Source organism: Homo sapiens, chromosome 8 (assembly GCF_000001405.40).
Source record: "Homo sapiens chromosome 8, GRCh38.p14 Primary Assembly".
Taxonomy (NCBI): domain Eukaryota; kingdom Metazoa; phylum Chordata; class Mammalia; order Primates; family Hominidae; genus Homo; species Homo sapiens.
This window is the reverse complement of record NC_000008.11, coordinates 101212411-101231080: the sequence shown is the minus strand read 5'-3', so window position 1 is coordinate 101231080 and position 18670 is coordinate 101212411. Positions and strand designations below refer to the sequence as shown.

The 18670-nt window shown below is 37.6% G+C and overlaps 1 long non-coding RNA gene and 1 pseudogene across 2 annotated transcripts in view, besides 1 other annotated feature; one reads left to right on the top strand and one right to left on the bottom strand.

Moving 5' to 3' along the window:
• Positions 1-17322, bottom strand: part of LOC107984005 (uncharacterized) — a 79776-nt gene extending 62454 nt beyond the window's left edge. For both annotated transcript variants that reach the window (XR_928468.3, XR_928469.2), the window contains exon 1: positions 16656-17322. This is a non-coding gene — a long non-coding RNA (uncharacterized LOC107984005). The remainder of the gene's footprint in view (positions 1-16655) is intronic.
• Positions 6508-7140, top strand: LOC100419977 (myeloid leukemia factor 2 pseudogene; annotated as a pseudogene).
• Positions 7966-8260: an enhancer, noted in NCBI's record as "tiled region #4487; K562 Activating DNase matched - State 5:Enh". NCBI's record gives its function as "activates a minimal TATA promoter and a strong SV40 promoter by Sharpr-MPRA in K562 cells {active_cell/tissue: K562}" and the evidence as "EXISTENCE:reporter gene assay evidence [ECO:0000049][PMID:27701403]".
• Positions 17323-18670: the final 1348 nt, after the last annotated feature.

Sequence of the window (18670 nt, the reverse complement as noted above, 5' to 3'; positions counted from 1 at the left end):
CTCAGCCTCCCAAAGTGCTGGGATTACAGGCGTGAGCCACCGTGCCCGGCCTCTCCTGTCCAATTTTTAATAGCACTTATGACTACCTATAATCACATATGGTTTATTTATTGGTGGTCTGCCCCACCCCTTTAAAATGTAAGCCATGTGTAAGCAGAGGCTTGTGTGGTGTTAAGTCTCCAACACATAAACCAAAGCTGGACACATGGTAGGTGTTTGATGATTGAATGAATGAATACTAGTGGTATTTATTATTACTACTACTACTACTATTATTATTATTATTATTATTATTATTATTATTAGACGGAGTTTCGCGTTTGTAACCCAGGCTGGAGTGCAATGGTGCGGTCTCAGCTCACTGCAACCTCCGCCTCCCGGTTTCAAGTGATTCTTCTGCCTCAGCCTCCTGAGTAGCTGGGATTACAGGCTCACGCCCAGATGCCCGGCTAATTTTTTTTGTATTTTTAGTAGAGAAGGGGTTTCACCATATTGGCCATGCTGGTCTGGAACTCCTGACCTAGAGATCCATCCGCCTCGGCCTCCAAAGTGCTGGGATTACAGGCGTGAGCCACCGCGCCCGGCCCACAACAGCATTTTTAATAGCTACATGTTATTTTGCTGTATGGAGTTTCTTTATTGTTGGGCATTTAAGTTACTCATAATTTTTCATTATTCTGAGCACTGTTGCTATAAAAATATTTCTATTAATGGCTAGTTACATCTTTGTATTAAATGATTAATAGAATAAATTCCTTGTCAATAAATTATTAGATTCAAGAATATAAATATTATTAAGGCATTTGATAGCTTCCCCAGACACCCTATTTCTGAGTTTTTACCTGTGAAACTGCATAGATCCTTAACTCCGCCCTGCTAGTGGAGGCCTACCCCTGTGCCCCGCCCAGTGGGTGGGACCTTGCCCCTCATATATCAGCCTCCCATGCTTACTTTCTGTCTGCCTCTTCCCATGATTTTCTTTCTAGATTCCCTGTCCCGCAGCTCTGACTCCTGAGACAGACCATTTTTCTGAACCATGTTAGGCATTGCTAGACCCCTTACACAGGATCAACCCTGCCTAGTGGATGACCGGAGTCAGCTCCTGCCTTTCCCTATGCCTTCCTTTCTGTGACCATTGTGGGACACCCATATAGTCCCAAGCCATGACAAGTATTGTGGTGTCTTGGCTCTTGTGGCACATTTCTGGTCATCTCTGCAGTTTATATAATACTGCTTCCTTAGTCATGTGCTCTTAAATGTAACTCTTAATTATAAGATTGGGTCTTTAACAGAATAGGAGCTTCTTGATAATATCAATTGGCTAGCATGAGCACTAGGATGTCTTATGGAAAAAGTAGGTGACAACCAATAACAACCCATTAACAGACTAGCATCTCTAATGACCCTAGTAACAAAAGAATGGTATTTAAACTGTTTAAAATTTTATTGTGGAAATATACATATAACACGAAGTTTACCATTTTAAGAAAGTGTACAGTTCAGTGGCATTAAGTACATTCACAATGTTGCGCAACTGTCACCACTATCTAGTTCCAAAACTCCTTCATCATCTCAAACAGAAACTCTATAACCATTAAGCAATAATTCTCCCGTTCCACACTCTCCCAGACCTGGTAACTTCTATTCTACTTTCTGTCTCTATGAATTTGTCTTTTCTAGCTATCTCATATAAGTGGAGTCATACTATATTGTCTTTTGGAGTCTGGCTTCTTTCATTTAGCATAGTGTTTTTAAGGTTCATCGATGTTGTAGCATTCATCAAAATTTCATTCGTCTTTATGGCTGAATAATATTCTATTATGTGTGTATACCACGGTTTGTTTATTCATTCATCCACTGATGGACATTTAGATTATTTCCACCTTTGACTATTGTGAATAGTGTTGCTATTATTAAATGCCTAGCATTCTAATTACCCTAATTTTTAAAAAAGAAATGAGGTATTTAACCTGTTTTTATGATTCATCTCTGTTCCAAACATGTTCAATTTTTTGTGTGTGTGTGTGCGTGTGTGTGTGTGTGTGTATCACTAGCCACATTCTCTCTGAATAATCAATGTTTTAAACAGTATATCTAACTAGCAGTCCAATTTTATTTTATTTACGAACTAGCCTCAGTCTGGGAATTATTTGAGGAAGTTTACAAAATACATAAGGATCAAAATAAGTAAAGAAGCCAGGCATAGTGGCACATATCTGTAGTCCCAGCAACTTGAAAGGCTGAGGCAGGAAGATCACTTGGGCCAGGAGTTGGAGGCCAGCCCGGGCAACATAACAAGACATTATCTTAGATAGATAGGTAGATAGATAGGTAGATAGATAGATGATAGATAGATAGATAGATAGATAGATAGATAGATAGATAGATAGATAGAGGAAGATGAAGAGAAAACCAAGCATGACATTATAAAATGAAGCCAGAGGCCACAAACATATATAATGTGCCAGAAATTCTTGCAAAATTGATAGGTCACAATTTCTAAGCTTCTTAGTGACCAAATACAGAGAGAAAAGATCAGTCATCAGTCATAGGGTCTCTAAGATAAGCAAACAAACAAGCAAAAAACTATGAGTAGCTCAGGAGAAAGAAGCACATACGTTCCCAACACTGAATTGCAAGAGAAGAACCATTTGATAAAACAGATTATGTTTTTCTTAACTTTCTTATAGCAAATACAGAGTTTTATGTGGCTGTTTTTTATACTGCTGCTCAAAGGAAGCTAAAGGTATAACATAAGGGGGAACTCAGGAAAAACAGTTACAAAGGAGGCGGTAAATGAAAGCTGTCTAAATATTCAGTTCTTTGTCCACGGATGAAATTTGGACCTTAACAGGAATGAGTAAACTGCATATTCTCAAGGAATTATTTTTAATTATTTCTTACAACTAAATTTTTGATGAGTTTAGTAGCAGAGAGTTTCATATCTTCTGAGAAGAACCTAGAACCCCTTGGCCTATGCTATTGAGTAAAAGAAAATTCACATACTAAACAATTCTCTAAGCAGAAAATAGACCTGGGATCCCTTTATCAAAATTAGAAGGCCTAGACCACATCACATGCTGGGGAAGACATGGAGCAACCAGAATTCTCACATGTTGTTGTTGGGAATATAAAATGATACAATCACTTTGAAAAAGTCAGGCAGTTGCTTAAAAATGAAGTATGGCTGAGCATAGTGGCTTATACATGTAATCCCAGCACTTTGGGAGGCCAAGGTAGGAGGACTACTTGAGGCCAGGAGTTTGAGACCAGCCTGGGCAATACAGCACGACCCTTATCTCTACAAAAATTAAAATTAAAAAATTAGCCAGGCTTGGTGGCATGCACCTGTAGTCTTAGCTATTTGGGAGGCTAAGGTGGGAGGATTGCTTGAGCCCAGGAGTTTGAGTTTGCAGTAAGCTATTATCCCACCACTGCACTCCAGCCTGGGTAATAGAACAAGACCATCTCTAAAAATAAAATAAAATAAGATAATAAAATGCACACTTATCACATGACCTAGCAATTTCACTCCTATGTATTTACCCAAGATAAATAAAAACATATGTTCTTACAAGGACTTGCACAAGAATGTTCATAGCAACTTTGTCATAATAATTAAAAACTAGAAAAAGCCTGGTGTCCATCAGTAGGAGAATGGATAAACAAACAGAGATGCTCATAGAATGAAATTCTACTCAGCAATAAAAAGGAAAGACCAGCTGATATAAACAACAGCATGGACAAATTTCAAAAACACTATGCTAATAAAAATTTGGTAGAAGAGTGAAATAATGCGAAAACTTAAAAGCAATGCAGATTTGTGTCCAGTTCCATGGATCAAGACAAATTGCCCCAGTTTTGTCATGGGGAAAAGGGGAGTAATAATCTCTGAAAGTGAAAATTAAATAAGCATTGTGTGATTTTATTTTTTTGGTTGTTTTTTGGTTGTTTGTTTGTTTGTTTTTTGAAACAGAGTCTCTTTCTGTCGCCTAGGCTGGAGTACAGTTGCACAATCTCAGCTCACTGCAACCTCTGCCTCCTGGGTTCAAGTGATACCCTTGCCTCAGCCTCTTGAGTAGCTGAGACTACAGGTACCCGCTACCATGCCTGGCTAATTTTTGTATTTTCAGTAGAGACAGGGTTTTACCATGTTGGCCAGGCCGATCTCGAACTCCTGACCTCAGGTGATCTGCCTCGGCCTCCCAAAGTGCTGGGATTACAGACTTGAGCCACAGTGCCCGGCCTTATTTTGTACTTTAAAATGTTACATATAGATTATATGTATCTTTCTGTAACTTGCTTCTTTTTGTTTAACACTGATTTGAAAGTACTTGGCAAAGATCAGTATCATCATTAGTCAAAAAAGATAATGGTTGGCAAGAGGAGAACACAGAGAAAATATGACTTAAAGAGGGCATCAAGTGATAAATTTTTTGTTTTGTTACCAAAAAACATGCTGAGTAAAAGAAGCCTTACTAAAAGAATTTACACTGTATGAATTATTTCATGTGAAGTTCTAGAGCAAACGAACCAACCTATGATGAATGAAACCAGAACAGCAGTTACCTCTGGTGGGGCAAGGGTAGAGATTAACTGGGAAAGGGGAGGACAAGACTTTCTGGGGTCATGCTAGTGTTCTCTATTTTATAGGAGGTTAAAGAGGACCAAAATTCCTCAAATGGTACCAAACAAAGAAAAATGTTAATGGTAGAACCTAGGTGGTGGGTATATGGTTATGTACTATAAAATTCTTTCAACTTTCTTGTGTCCTTGCAACTTCATTTTTGTGTTTTAAAACATTGGCCAGGCTGGATATGATGGCTCACGCCTGTAATCCCAACACTTTGGGAGGCTGAGGCAGGCGGATCACTTGAGGTCAGGAGTTCGAGACCAGCCTGGCCAACATGGTGAAACTCTGTCTCTACTAAAAATGTAAAAATTAGCCAGGCTTGGTGGCGGGCACCTGTAGTCCCAGCTACTAGGGAGGCTGAGGCAAGAGAATCACTTGAACCCCAGAGGCAGAGGTTGCAGTGAGCTGAGATGGCACCACTGCACTCCAGCCTGGGCAACAGAGTGAGACTCCATCTCAAAAAAAAAAAAAAAAAGGAAAGAAAAAAAAAAGAAATGAGCCTAAGTAAAACATAATTTAATGATAAAAACTATTTTTTAAAAAAGTCTTAAAAGATACCTATATGTACTTGGAATTTTTATTATTAACCTATGGTGGGTTTTTAAAAATATTTATTAATTGTGTCTGTCAATCTTTTGAAAAAATTCAAATGAAAATAAATAAAAAAATGTAAACATCAGTTGATATATTCAACTCTGAACATTACTACTGCAGTTTTAAGTAAAATCCACAGGGTGGCAGAGAAAAGGAATCACAGAAGATGCTCACATTTCTGATTTAAGTGAATAATGGAAAATATTTTATTGCTTCTATTAATAGAAAAGATTTGCAGACTTTGTGAAATGTACTATACAGCACACAGAACTAAACTTGTAATCTAAATCTAAACTCCCACTTTTGCCTGAAGTTATTTGCTTATATAAAAAATGATGATGATTCGCCATGCTCATTTGCACAATTCTCCTCTCTTTTAGAGGTTATCTTTTATTTTTGCGTGAGAGATTATTTCAGTTAACGCTTCTCACTCACATAATGGATCATGTACATCCTTCTTCCCCCTCTCCTACCCCATTGGTCTTCCAGTGATCCCAGCCTCCCCCACTGTCACAGGGAACCCAGAAGCCAGAACCCTCTAAATTCTTGGTCAATGCACTTACTTCACCACTGTTAACAGATCCTGGCACACTCTTCCTTTCAACCTTAAGCAAATGCTTTACTTGCTATGATGAAAATTTCAAAGTAGCAGTAGAAGTAAATGACGTAATGAGAAAAAGAAAAAACAAATTCCCTGCAATGTCATTACCAAGAGGCTAATGAGCAGACTAGACTGAGTTATTCACAGAAATCAACATGTTTTATACATAAGATCGATCTCACGATTATTCCATTTGAGCAGGCCTTTATTTGTCTCCTATAATTTTCCAAAGGGATTCCGTGTTAGTCCACACACTGAACGACGCCAATCTCTCTACAGTTCCCCTCTATGATGATGCTTTGGGATGGCAACGAAGCAGGGATGATTTAAGAAAATGTCAGCAGTTGTCTGGCGTTTGTTTGTTTGGAAGGAGAAAGATAATGATTAAAAATAAATAAATAAATAAATAAATAAATAAATAAATAAATAAAAATAAATCAGTCGGGCTCGGGGTCCAGGAGTAGGGGTTGGGATCTTCGGGAAAAGCAACTGTGGGAGGAGGCTGAAGGGAACGGGGCAGGGGTTGGGGGTCGGGGGACGCGGAGGAGCCCAAGCCTGGACCAACCCTGCTTCCCAGGCCGCGACCCTGATCCTGCAGCACGCGAAGAAGCGAACCCCGCGGATGGGCCACTGAGCCTGAATCCGGGGCGGTGTAGAGCCCCCTGGAGCAAGGATCAGGATGTCCCGTCTCATGAGGGACATGGAGTCCGAAGATCCCGCGTTCCTGGTGGGCCCCTCTGCTACTCGCCGTCAGCATTTGCTGTCAGGTGGCTTTGGCTGGAGCCCCTTCCTCGGCATCGCAGATGGCATCACAGCTGCAGGGTGCAGGCTGGGGCTGTCTCCCCCTTGGGGATGCTGGAAACGTCGGGTGGCTTCGTGGACATGCTTGGGATGATGAACGACATGACTGATGGAACACATGACAGCTGGAGGCTCTTGCCAGACCGTTTCATCCTCCGCTGCCATCTCCTACTCCAGCGCGGGAGAGGGTGTCCCCACGGTCTACCAAGGGACATCAGAGACGCAGTCGCACCGGCGGGGCCCAGGCCACGCGGGGGACTGACAGGGATTCGGGCGGTGGCCTGGAGAGGACTGGGACTGGAGGAGCGGCAGGGCCACAACAATCCGGGTGCGAGTGAGGCCGCGGCGTTTGCCGCTGGGGGACGGAGGCTGGCTTCCTGCTCCCGCAGCAGCAGCGCCCTCTGGCATTTCCACCGTCAGAGGCATGGGGTGGTGGGGACGAAGGACTCAGGAGCCTCTCCGCCTGGACTTACAGGGACCCCAGGACTCCCGCTCCCGAAGGTCCCGCCGCCTTCCCCAGGCCTCGGCCTCTCTTGTACTGGCCAAGAGGCTGAGAAATCATACCCGGAAATAACTTTTTCCTCTCTAACTCCCATCCCCAATTTAATATTAAATTAATAGGCAAGCTGGCCCCCACCTCTCCCTAAGGGCCTCAGGCAGAACCTTTCACTGCTCCCTTAACCTACTTTTTCCTTCTTTAATCCCCTTATCATGATGATCCACTTCTCCTGTATCCACTAACTTGATTTTACGTTTTGCTGCTCCATTTTTGAGCCTCCTCAGCTTCCCCATTCTACCGCTACCATGCATTGGAGGGTCTTTGGGGGTGAGCGCTGGATTTAGAGGCTTCTTCCAACCCTCAGCTACCCTGGACCCTTGCCCACCTCTTCCTCAGAGGCCCCACTGCAGGGGCCGGAGCCCTGTCCAGGGCTGGGTAGGGGGCCGACCACAGGTTCCCAACTCTTCCTTGCTCACGCCTCCCACACACACATCACAAAACTCTTCCCCGCACCCTTCTCTGCCTTTATTTCTGGAAATGCACAACTTGTAACTCAGTGTTTATGGGGAAAAAATGGGGAAAAAATAAAATCTGTGAAGCCAGAATTCCTTTCGCAAACAGACTGATCATATCTTTGGATGGTTGGAAATGACTGTCCATATAGTAATTCTGCAAGGTGCATCATGGGACCTTGCACTGGGACACTCTACAGATTTTTCAATAAAGGAGTCAGGGCTGGGACATGTAGCATATTCAGCCAGAATATGCAAAACAGCAGCCAACTGCTCTCAGAAGCTAACTGTGCTAAGACCAAAAGCCAGCTCTAACATTAAGGTCTCATGCATCGTTTTATGTTTCGTTGAAAAGTAAATTCCTTGGCAATCCTGTGGGAACAGGACATGAGAACTCTCTCACAATTTCAGAGCTTCATGTTAGTCTCTGTTGGACTCGTCCAGCAAGTTGACTCATTCCTTTCCTAGCTAGGCAGCAACGAGATATATTGGTATCTTTCAGGAACACACCCTCCCTTAAATGCTTATTCAGCTGCATTTCCAATATTTTGGATCTGCTACCTTCATTCGCATTTCAATACATATTTATGGCCTGAAGTTTTAACTCTGCCACTTCTGGATCACAATTCAGGCTAAGCATTTTATATTATGAAAAAAAGAAATGCTGTGCCAGATGAAAAATACACTTACTCTCATAATTGCAACAATAATGTAACTGCAAAAGAGAAGTTTGTCTGAAAATTACAGTACTCAGGATTCATCATATTATAACAAATGTGAATTTTACTAAATACCAAGAAAAATCAGAGATTAAAATGTACCCCAAAAACTCTGGACTCAAAAATAGGAAAAGTTCACTTTCCTATTTCTCTCAACTTACTTCTCTTTCTAGTGAGCCAAACATCTGACACATGTAAGCCATAGGTCAAAAGATGAATCAGGCAACAGAAGGAACTGAGTATATCTGTACATCTGCCACTGATATATTAAATATTGAAATATCCCCAAACTGAAAAAGTTGTTTTTAAAAAAGCCAATTTTCAACTAAGTTATAGTTTTTCATCTACGCAACTGTTTTTAACATTGTATGCTGTCTTTCCCTCCAGTTAACTGGGTTATTTTATTTACTTATTTTATAGATATAGGGGTACAAGTGTAGGTTTGTTACATGGATATATTGTGTAGTGGTGAAGTCTGGGCTTTTAGTGTCATTGGGTTATTTTAGAAACAAGCCAACTACTTGCAGGCAGCCCTATATATGGTCAACATATGCTAGTGGACAAAATGTTGGCTTAGATTCTCCCTATGAACAAATGTAGAAACTGAGCCACAGTGAGTTAGCATAATTTGCCCAGTTGATGCAAACATTTCACATCTCCTGAATTGAGTGGTTTGTTAGGACAGTTGAGTCGACTGTAGGGCTAATGAGACAAGGCCTTGAGACCTCTTCCCTCTCTAGTGGAACAGATAATAATGCACTAACATGATCACAGATTCAAGTAAGCCAAACATCTGACACATGTAAGCCATGGGTGAGAAGATGGATCAGGCAAAGGAAGGATCTGAATATATCCATCCATTCATCCCCACTGACAGAAAGCCAAGATGAACATATAAGAACAGCTGAGGCCAGTCAGTGATGAAATTAACTACTAAGGTTGATATGTACACACACACACCCATCTTGGAAATTATAACTACACCAGGTATGCTCCAGTATCCTGATGTTGGATGCATATGTTGGATGAACCCACACATCATATCGCATTTGTCCCAAATGACACGTCATTTGCTTATGAAAGACATCCTTCATTTATTTGTACTTTAAATTCCAAGCTGCTAAAGATAGCTCTCTTTAAGGTTAACCAATTCACATTCTTTATTGACTTTCTGAAATTATATGAAAGAAAAAAAGTTAAAATGTCAGCCAAATAAAACTTACACTTGAGTAATTGGGTACTCCAAATCTACTTTGGAAATAAGACGAGTATAAACAATACATTTTTTATATATGATACTTAGCAAAGTTGTAATATTTTTTGTTTTTGTTATTTTTTGTTTTTTGCTTTTTTGTTTCTATTATTTTTAATTGACATATAATATTGTACATATTTGTGGGGTACAGTGTGTCATTTCAATAAATCTATACCATGTGTAATAATCAAATCAGGGTAGTTAGCATATACATCACCTCAAATATTTATCATTTCTTTGTGTTGGGTACGTTCAAGATCTACTCTTCTAGTGATTTGAATGTATACAGAAAATTGTTGTTGATTATAGTCACTCTTTATTGCTATAGAACACCAGAACTCATTTGTCCTCTCTAGCTGTATTTCGTATCTATTAACCAACTTTGGCTATCTCCCTCTCCCTCCTGCCATTTCCCACCTCTGGTAACCACTATTCTACACTCTGCTTCTAGCAGACCAGTGTTTTTAGCCTCCACATGCAAGTGAGAATATGTAGTATTTATTTTTCTGATTTCACTTAACATAATGTCCTCCAAGCTTATTCATATTGCTGTGGGTGACAGAATTTCATTCTTTTATATGGCTAAATAATATTCCATTATTTCACATTATATATATGTGATCTATATATATCACATTTTCTTTATTCATTCATGTGTTGATGGACATTTAGGTTGATGCCATATTGTGGCTATCTGCAATAAACATGGGAATGCAGATATCTCTTTGACCTGCTGATTTCCTTTCCTTTGGATATATACATTGGTGGTTCTATTTTTAGTTTTTTGAGAAACCTCCTTTCTGTTTTCCATAATGGCTGTACTAATTTACAATTCAACCAACAGTGTATAAGAGATCACTCCACTTTTTGTTTCATCTTCATCAGCATTTTTTTTTGTCTTTTTGATAATCTCACCCCAGCCATTCTCACTGGGGTGAGAAGATATCTCACTGTGGTTTTGATTTGTATTTCCCTGATGATTAGTGATATTGAGCATTTTTAAATATTCTTGTTGGCCATTTGTACGCCTCCCTTTAAGAGATGTCTCTTCAGCTCATTTGCCCACTATTTGATTGAATTATCATCATCATCATCATCATCATCATCATCATCATTTGCTATTGAGTTGTTTGAGTTCCCTGTGTATTCTGGACATTCATCCATTGTTGGATGAACAGTTTGCAAATATTTTCCCTCATTTTGCAGGTTGTCTCTTCACTCTCTTGATTGTTTCCTTTACTGTGCAGAACGTTTTTAGCTTGATATAATCCCAACTGTCTATTTTTTATTTTGTTGCCAGTCTTCTCCATAAAGTCTTTGCCCAGACCAATTTCCTAAAGCATTTTCCCTGTGTTTTTTTCTAGTAGTTTGATAATTCTGGGGTCTTACTTTTAAGTCTTTAATCCACTTTGAATAGATTTTTTGTATATGGTGAGGGATAGGAGTCTAGATTCATTTTTTTGCATATGGATATCCAGTTTTCCCATCACCATTTACTGAAAAGACTGTCCCTTACCCAGTGAATCTTCTTAGTGCCTTTGTTGAAAATCTGTTGGTTGTAAATACGTGAATTTATTTCTGGGTTCTCTATTCTGTTCTGTTGGTCTATGAGTCTATTTATGTCAGTACCATGCTGTTTTGGTTACTATAGCTTTGTAGTATATTTTGACATCAGGTAGTGTGATGCCTCCAGCTTTGTTTTTGTTTTTCGTTTTTTTTTAATCAAGATTGCCTTAGCTGTTCAGAGTCTTTTGTGGTTGCATATGAATTTTAGGATTATTTCTATTTCTGTGAAGAATGTCATTGGTATTTTGATAAAGATTGCTTTGAATCTGTAGATTGCTTTTGGTATTATGGCCATTTCCTCAATCTTAATTCTTTCAGTCCATGACATGGGATGTCTTTCATATTTTTGTGTCCCTTTCAATTTCTTTCATCAGTGTTTTGTAGTTTTCCTTGTAGAGGTCTTTCACCTCCTTGGTTACATTTATTCCTGGGTATTTTAAATTTTTTATAGCTATTGCAAATAGGATTGCTTTCTTGATTGTTTTCCTCTAGTTTGTTGTTAGTGTATGGAAACACTGCTGACTACTGATTTTTCTATGTTGATTTTGTATGCTTTAGCTTTTTTAAATTTGTTTATCAGTTCTAAGAAAGGTTTTGTTGGTGAAGTTTTAAAGTTTTTTTTTAATATATAAGATCATATTGTCTGCAAACAGACAACTTCCTCCTTTCCAATTTGGATGCCCTTTATTTCTTTCTCTTGGCTAATTGATCTGGCTAGGATTTCTAGTATTATGTTGAATAAAAGTGGTGAAAGTGGGCATTCTTGTCTTGTTCCAGATCTTAGAGGAAAACCTGTGAACTGTGCCTCATTCACTATGACATTGTTTATGGGTTCGTTGTATATAGCCTTTATTGTGTTGAGATACATTTCTTCTATACTTAACTTGCTGAGAATTTTTATCATGAAGAGATGTTCAATTTTATCAAATGCTTTTTCTGTAACTATTGAGATGATTATATGGGTTTTGTACTTAGTTCTGTTCATGTGACATATCATATTTATTAATTCACATATATTGAATCATCCTTGATTGACTATGACATTGTTTATGGGTTTGTCATATATAGCCTTTATTGTGTTGAGATACATTTCTTGTATACTTGTTGAGAGTTTTTATCATGAAGAGATGTTGAATTTTATCAAATGCTTTGTCTGTGACTGTTGAGATGATTATATGGATTTTGTACTGAATTCTGTTCATGTGACATATCATATTTATTAATTTGCATATATTGAATCATCCTTGCCTTCCTGAGATCTTACTTCATCATAATGAATGATCTTTTTAATGTGCTGCTGGATTTGGTTTGCTAGTATTTTGTTGAGGATTTTTGTGTCTATGTGCATCAGGGATATTGGCCTATTTTTTTTTTGTCCTTATCTTGTTTTGGTATCAGAGTAATGATGGCCTCATGGCATGGGTTTGAAAGAATTCCCATGCCTTCAAATTTCTGGAAAGGTTTGAGAATAATTTGTATGAGTTTTGCTTTAAATGTTTGGTAGAATTTCACAGTGAAGCCATTGGGTCTTGGAATTCTGTTTGATGGGAGTCTATATATTACAGATTCAGTCTTGTTATAATTCATCTGTTCAGGTTTTCTATTTCTTCTTGGTTCAATCTTAGTATATGTATCTAGGAATTTATCCATTTCTGTGACATTTTCTAATTTGTTAGTGTATAGTTATTCATAATAGATTAAGTGACCCTTTGTGTTTATGTGTATTTGTAATGTGTCGTTTTTCACTTCTGATTGTATTTATTTGGATATTTCTTCCTTTTTCTTGGTTAGTCTAGCTAATGGTTTTTCTATTTTGTTTGTCTTTTCAACAAACTAACTTCTATTTTGTCGATCTTTTATATTTTTAAATAATAATTTTGCTTATTCCTGCTCTAATCCTTATTCTTCCCTCTATTAATTTTGGGTTTGGCTTGTTTTTGCTCTTCTAGCTCTTTGAGATGCACTGTTAGGTTGCTGGTTTGAAATCATTCTAAGATTTTTCTAAGATTTTTTGATGTAGGCATTTATTGCCATAAACTTCACTGTTAATATTGCTTTTGCTGTATCCCAAAGGTTTTGGTATGTTGTGTTTCTATTTTAATTTGCTTCAAGAAATTTTTTCAATTGTCTTCTATTTTCTTCATTGACCCATAGGTATTTCAGGAGCATATTGCTTAATTTCCAGGTATTTTTATAATTTTGAAAGATTCCCTTGTTATTGATTTCTAGTTTTGTCCCACTGTGGCCAGAAAAGATACTTTACATTATTTAAATTATGTTAAATTTGTTGAGACTTGGTTTTTGGCCTAACACGTGGTCTATCTTGGAGAATGTGCCCTATGTTAATGAGAAGAAGCTCATAATCTGCAGCTATTGGATGAAATGTTCTGGAAATGTCTGTTAGGTCCATTTGGTCTAAAGTGAAATTTAAATCCAAAGTTTCTTTATTAATTTTCTGTTTAGATGATCTGTCCAATGCTGAGAATGAGGTGTTAAAGTCCCTAACTATTAGCATATTAAAGTCTATCTCTCTCTTCAGATCTAATAATATTTGCTTTATATATCTGGGTATATACATGTTTAGGATTGTTATATCATCTTGCTGAATTGATCCCTTTATCATTATATAATGACCATTGTCTCTTTTCACAGTTTTTGACTTAAAGTCTATTCTATCTCATATAACTACTCCTGATCACTTTTGGTTTCTAGTTGTGTAGAATACATTTTTACATCCCTTCACATTCAGTCTATATGTGTCTTTGCAGAAAAAGCGAGTTTCTTGTAGGCAGCAAATAATAGTTCATTTAAAAAAATCCATTTGGCCAGTCTATACCTTTACCTGGGTAATTTAATCCATTTACATTCAAGATTATTCTAGATAGGAAAGGATTTATTCCTGTCATTTTGTTAATTATTTTCTAATTATTTTGTTCCTTTCTTCCCTATTGTTTGTCATTGTGGTTTTCTATGGTTACAAGGTTTGATTCTTTTCTCTTTTTCCTTTGTGTATATGTTTTACCAGTGAGTTTTATAACTTTTGTATATTTCCATGATAGTGATGACTATCTTTTTGCTTCCAGATGTAGGACTCTCTTGGGCATTTCTTGAAAGACCAGTCTCCTGGTGATGAATTTCCTCAGTTTTCGCTTGTCTGGAAAAGGCTATTTCTCCTTCATCTCTGGATGATAGCTTTGCTGGGTATAGTATTCCTGGCTGCCTTTTTTTTTTCTTTCAGCACTTTTGAATATATCATCTCATTCTCTCCTGTTCTATAAGGTTTCTGTGAATAAACCTACTGTTAGTCTAATGGGGATTCCCTTACATGTGATTTGACACTTTTCTCTTGCTGTTTTAGAATTCTCCCTTTGTCTTTGACTTTAGACAATTTGACTATAATGTGCCTCAGGAAGGACTTTTTTGAGTGTATCTATCTGGGGATTTTTGAGCTTCCTGCTGGCTCTGGGTATCAATCTCTCTCTCCAGTCTGGGTAAGTTTTCAGCTATTATTTCATTAAATAGGTTTTATATGCCTTTTCCCTTCTCTTATTCTTCTGAAATTTTTACAATACAAATATTTGTTTGCTTAATGGTGTCCTATAAGTCTTGTAGGCTTTTTTTATTCTTTTTAATTTTTCTTTCTTTTCTCTGACTGGGTAATTTCAAATGACCTGTCTTCAAGCATAGAGATTCTTCCCTTTGCTTCATGAAGTCAGCTGTTGGAGTTATCTATTGTATTTTTCTATTTCATTGATTGAATTCTTCAACTGCAGTATTTCTGGGGTTTTTTTAATGATTTCTATCTCTTTTTAAAATGTCTCATTCATATTGTGAACTCCTTTCCTGATTTCATTGAATTGTGTATCTGTATTTCCTTATATTTCATTGAGTTTCTTTAAGATCATCATTTTAAGTTCCTTCTCTGGAAATTCATTGACTTTCTTATCACCTGATGACTTTATCACCTTGAACGTTAGGATACAAGTCATTTACTCCAAGACATCAGGCCATCTAGGGGTTTGATGTGTAATCATGCAAAATTACATGGCCTGCACAGGAACTGAGTTAAAAGGTCAGAATTATGATTTATAAAGTGTCCCAAGCAAGTGAAACAACCAACTATGGCTGTAAGGATCATGAAAAACAGGGAATTCCCCCCCAGTTTACACAGACAACAAAAACTAAGTGTAGGTCACTATCTCATTTTACCCATGGATTTTAATTTATAGAGGTGACTGAGTGATGACATAGAAAGACCAATGCCATCGAAAGAATAATTTATTACTTACAAGTCCTGGGAGAAGGGGGCATGCCATGCCACACAGAGCCACATGGGAAGCACTAAGTTTGGTTAGGAGGCATAAGCAGGAGCAAGAGGAAAGCCTAGGCCAGAGCCTTTTTGGGAGGTTCCAGGAGAATTTCAAGGCAGGATGGAGTAAACAGCTTAGAGCTAGCAAGTTTAAATAACTTCAGTGGGCTTTGGCCTACATGGGTGGTCTCTAGTTGCCTGGTATCTGGTCTGGGAATGCATTAGGGCAGGGTAAAATATTGGCTTGGTGTGTGAGAGTTAGACAGAGCAGGCAGTTTTGGATATAGACTTGAGATTGCATATGAAATGTATATTCCTAGGTAAGTTGTTATTTCCTTCAGGAATTAGCTAGCCCTGGGAGGAGCAGTCTGTCCCCAAGGCTGTATGACCTGCCCAAATGTCAAAACATCATAAGATACAGAAAATAAAAAACATGATTAACACAGTCACAGAAGTTTCAACAAGTATTTCCCCTTAGTTCATGCTATTTTCTATTTATTCCTCAATCACTTAGTCTTCCTTTATAAAACATAGAAATTTCATTTTTATTTTCTATGTAAATAGTAAACTGCCTTGGTTTCAAATTTTCATACAGATGGAGTTTTGAATGATTTTGATTCTGCCTTTCATAAATAAAGTTCTTTTTTAAAAAACCTGAAGTTCCTGTTGAGCCATCAATCATAGAAGTTCAAGCACTAGAAGGGGTCTTGGAAGTCACTCAGATTAACTCTTTTATTTTATATCTGAGTAATCTGTCATTAAAAATTCTTCTGAGCCTGAATGGCTTAACTACTATTGAAATCAAATATAGAATATAATTAAGCATGTAATTAAAAGTATTAATAGACAAAAAGTATTAATTGGCCAAAAAGTGGTTACATTTTAGAGTCTAACTAAACTTTCTCTCTTTTTTATTGTCTTCTCTCCTTCAAAGTAATGGTTCAAAGTGGAGACATTATAAAAATATCTATACGAATCATCAGAAGTTAGGAAAAACTACAGAAGCCATTCTCAGGACAGATTTCTCTGTGTGAGGTCATCCTGTTATCACCAATGCAGTCAATAGATTTCAGAAAAAATCAAAGCCATCCATCAAATCAAGAGAGTGTTATGCTTAAGATCAAGGCAAAAGCCCTCACCCAAAAGACACCTGTATGAATTCCTACCTGAAGAAGAATGAATCACTCCATTCTTGATTTGCGTGTTTGTTTTTGCCCCCTGCTCAAGAGTAATGATGGAAAGACAGAAAGGATGGGCACATTTAATTTGGATGCTCCTTCCTCCGTAGTTTGTTCAGCTGCCTGAGTGCCTAACTATTAGAATGGTATGTAGAGAACTCAAAAAATGGAATGGTTAAACATAAAGGCATGTCCTTACCTGGAATGAAAAGTAGAGACTCTAATTGCAAAGAGACGCCAAGGGTGCTAACAATATCTGCACTTATTATAATACCTGGACTTAATCATCCACCTTTCTGAAGTACAGAGGACTGTGAAGTCACACATATTGCCTAGAAACAAACATGGTTAGAACATTATTAGAAATAAAAAAATCATTTTGTTTAATTTAGTTTGTGTTATCACAGTAAAAATGCACAGTTTAAAAATTCAACTAGTCCTATAGCACTAGTTATGAAAAACAGTTTGTTTCTTGCCAAATTCCCTCTTCTCAGCAACAGCTACTTAAAATTCCTTTTAGTTAAGTCTTTTGATCTTTATCTACATACTTCTAAATAACATTCTCACACTACTATTTCTTGAAATTTTCCCCCAGTCTTAGGCATTGTCTGTGGACTTTCCACTATGGCAGATAGAATTTACCTTTCTTTCACTTCCCCAACCCCCACCACTTGTCCCCACCACACATAAAACCTCTCATTTCCCTATCCTCCCAATAAAGTTATATTGGCATTTAGAACTGTGGTTTGATTCATATTTACATCATTATGTAAATGCTAGTCACTGCTGAGCCATGTAATACACTATCATTAACTTGTATTTCTTTCACAACATTTAATCTTCCCAGTAGCTGATAATTGTTTTGTTTATGCTTTGCTTTTTTAAAGGTTCTTATTACAAATTCGATCCAAGTTATAAAAGCTCTCCATAAATTCATACTCAGGAGGTATCCTATAAATTTCATTTACTTGAAATTTCTTCAGCAAAAACTATACTGGTTAGTCTTTAGGCTTCTCTGGGCTGCCATCTTGGGACCTTCATTCTCTTCTTGCATATTTCCTTCATCTCTCTCTTGCGATGGAGCCCACATCATCCACTTCCTTTACTCCCTCACTTTGGTGGCCCATATCCTTCAATAAGTTCAGTGAGGAAGGGTGACCAGGAGGTAAATAGTGTGATACCTTGTATATCTTTCTCTACTGTTTTCTAATTTTCAATATTGCTGTTGAGAAAACCAGTAACATTCTGGTTTTTAATTCTTCAATGAAACTAATTTATTTTTTCCTCTCTGGAAGCTTATAGGCTATCCCCTTTATTGCTAGTGTTCTGAAATTTCATTTAGATGTGCCTTGGTGTGGGTTTTACCCATCCAGTGTACTAGCACTCTTTGGGGGCCTTCAGCTGGCAATTCGGTTATTAATAGCTCTTTAAAAAATAATTTCCTCTTAGTTTTTCTGTTCTGGAATTTCTATTAGTTGAATATTGGGTCTCCTGAAATTACCCTTTAATTCTATTGTCTTTTCTTTCATATTTTCTAACTCTTTGTCTTTTCATTCTACAGTTGAACCATCAATGATACAAGGATTAGGGGCACCAATCTCCCCACAAAGTCAAAAACCTACATGTAACTTTTGACTCCCCAGAAACTTAACTACTAATAGCCTACCATTGACCTGAAGCCTTACTAATAATGTACATACTCAATGAACATATATCTTGTATATGTGTTATACAACTATTTTTTACAATACAGCAAACTAGAGAAAAGAATATTATTAATAAAATCGTAAGCAAGAGAAAATATATTTAATATTCATTAAGTGAAAGTGGATCATCATAAAGGTTTTTATCCTCATGATCTTCATATTAAGTAGGCTGAGATGGAGGAAAAAGAGCAGGGATTGATCTTGTTGTCTGAGGGATGGCAGACGCAGTAGGAAATCCACGTATAAGTGCACCCACACAGTTCAAACCCATGTTGTTCAAGAGCCAACTTTCTAGGA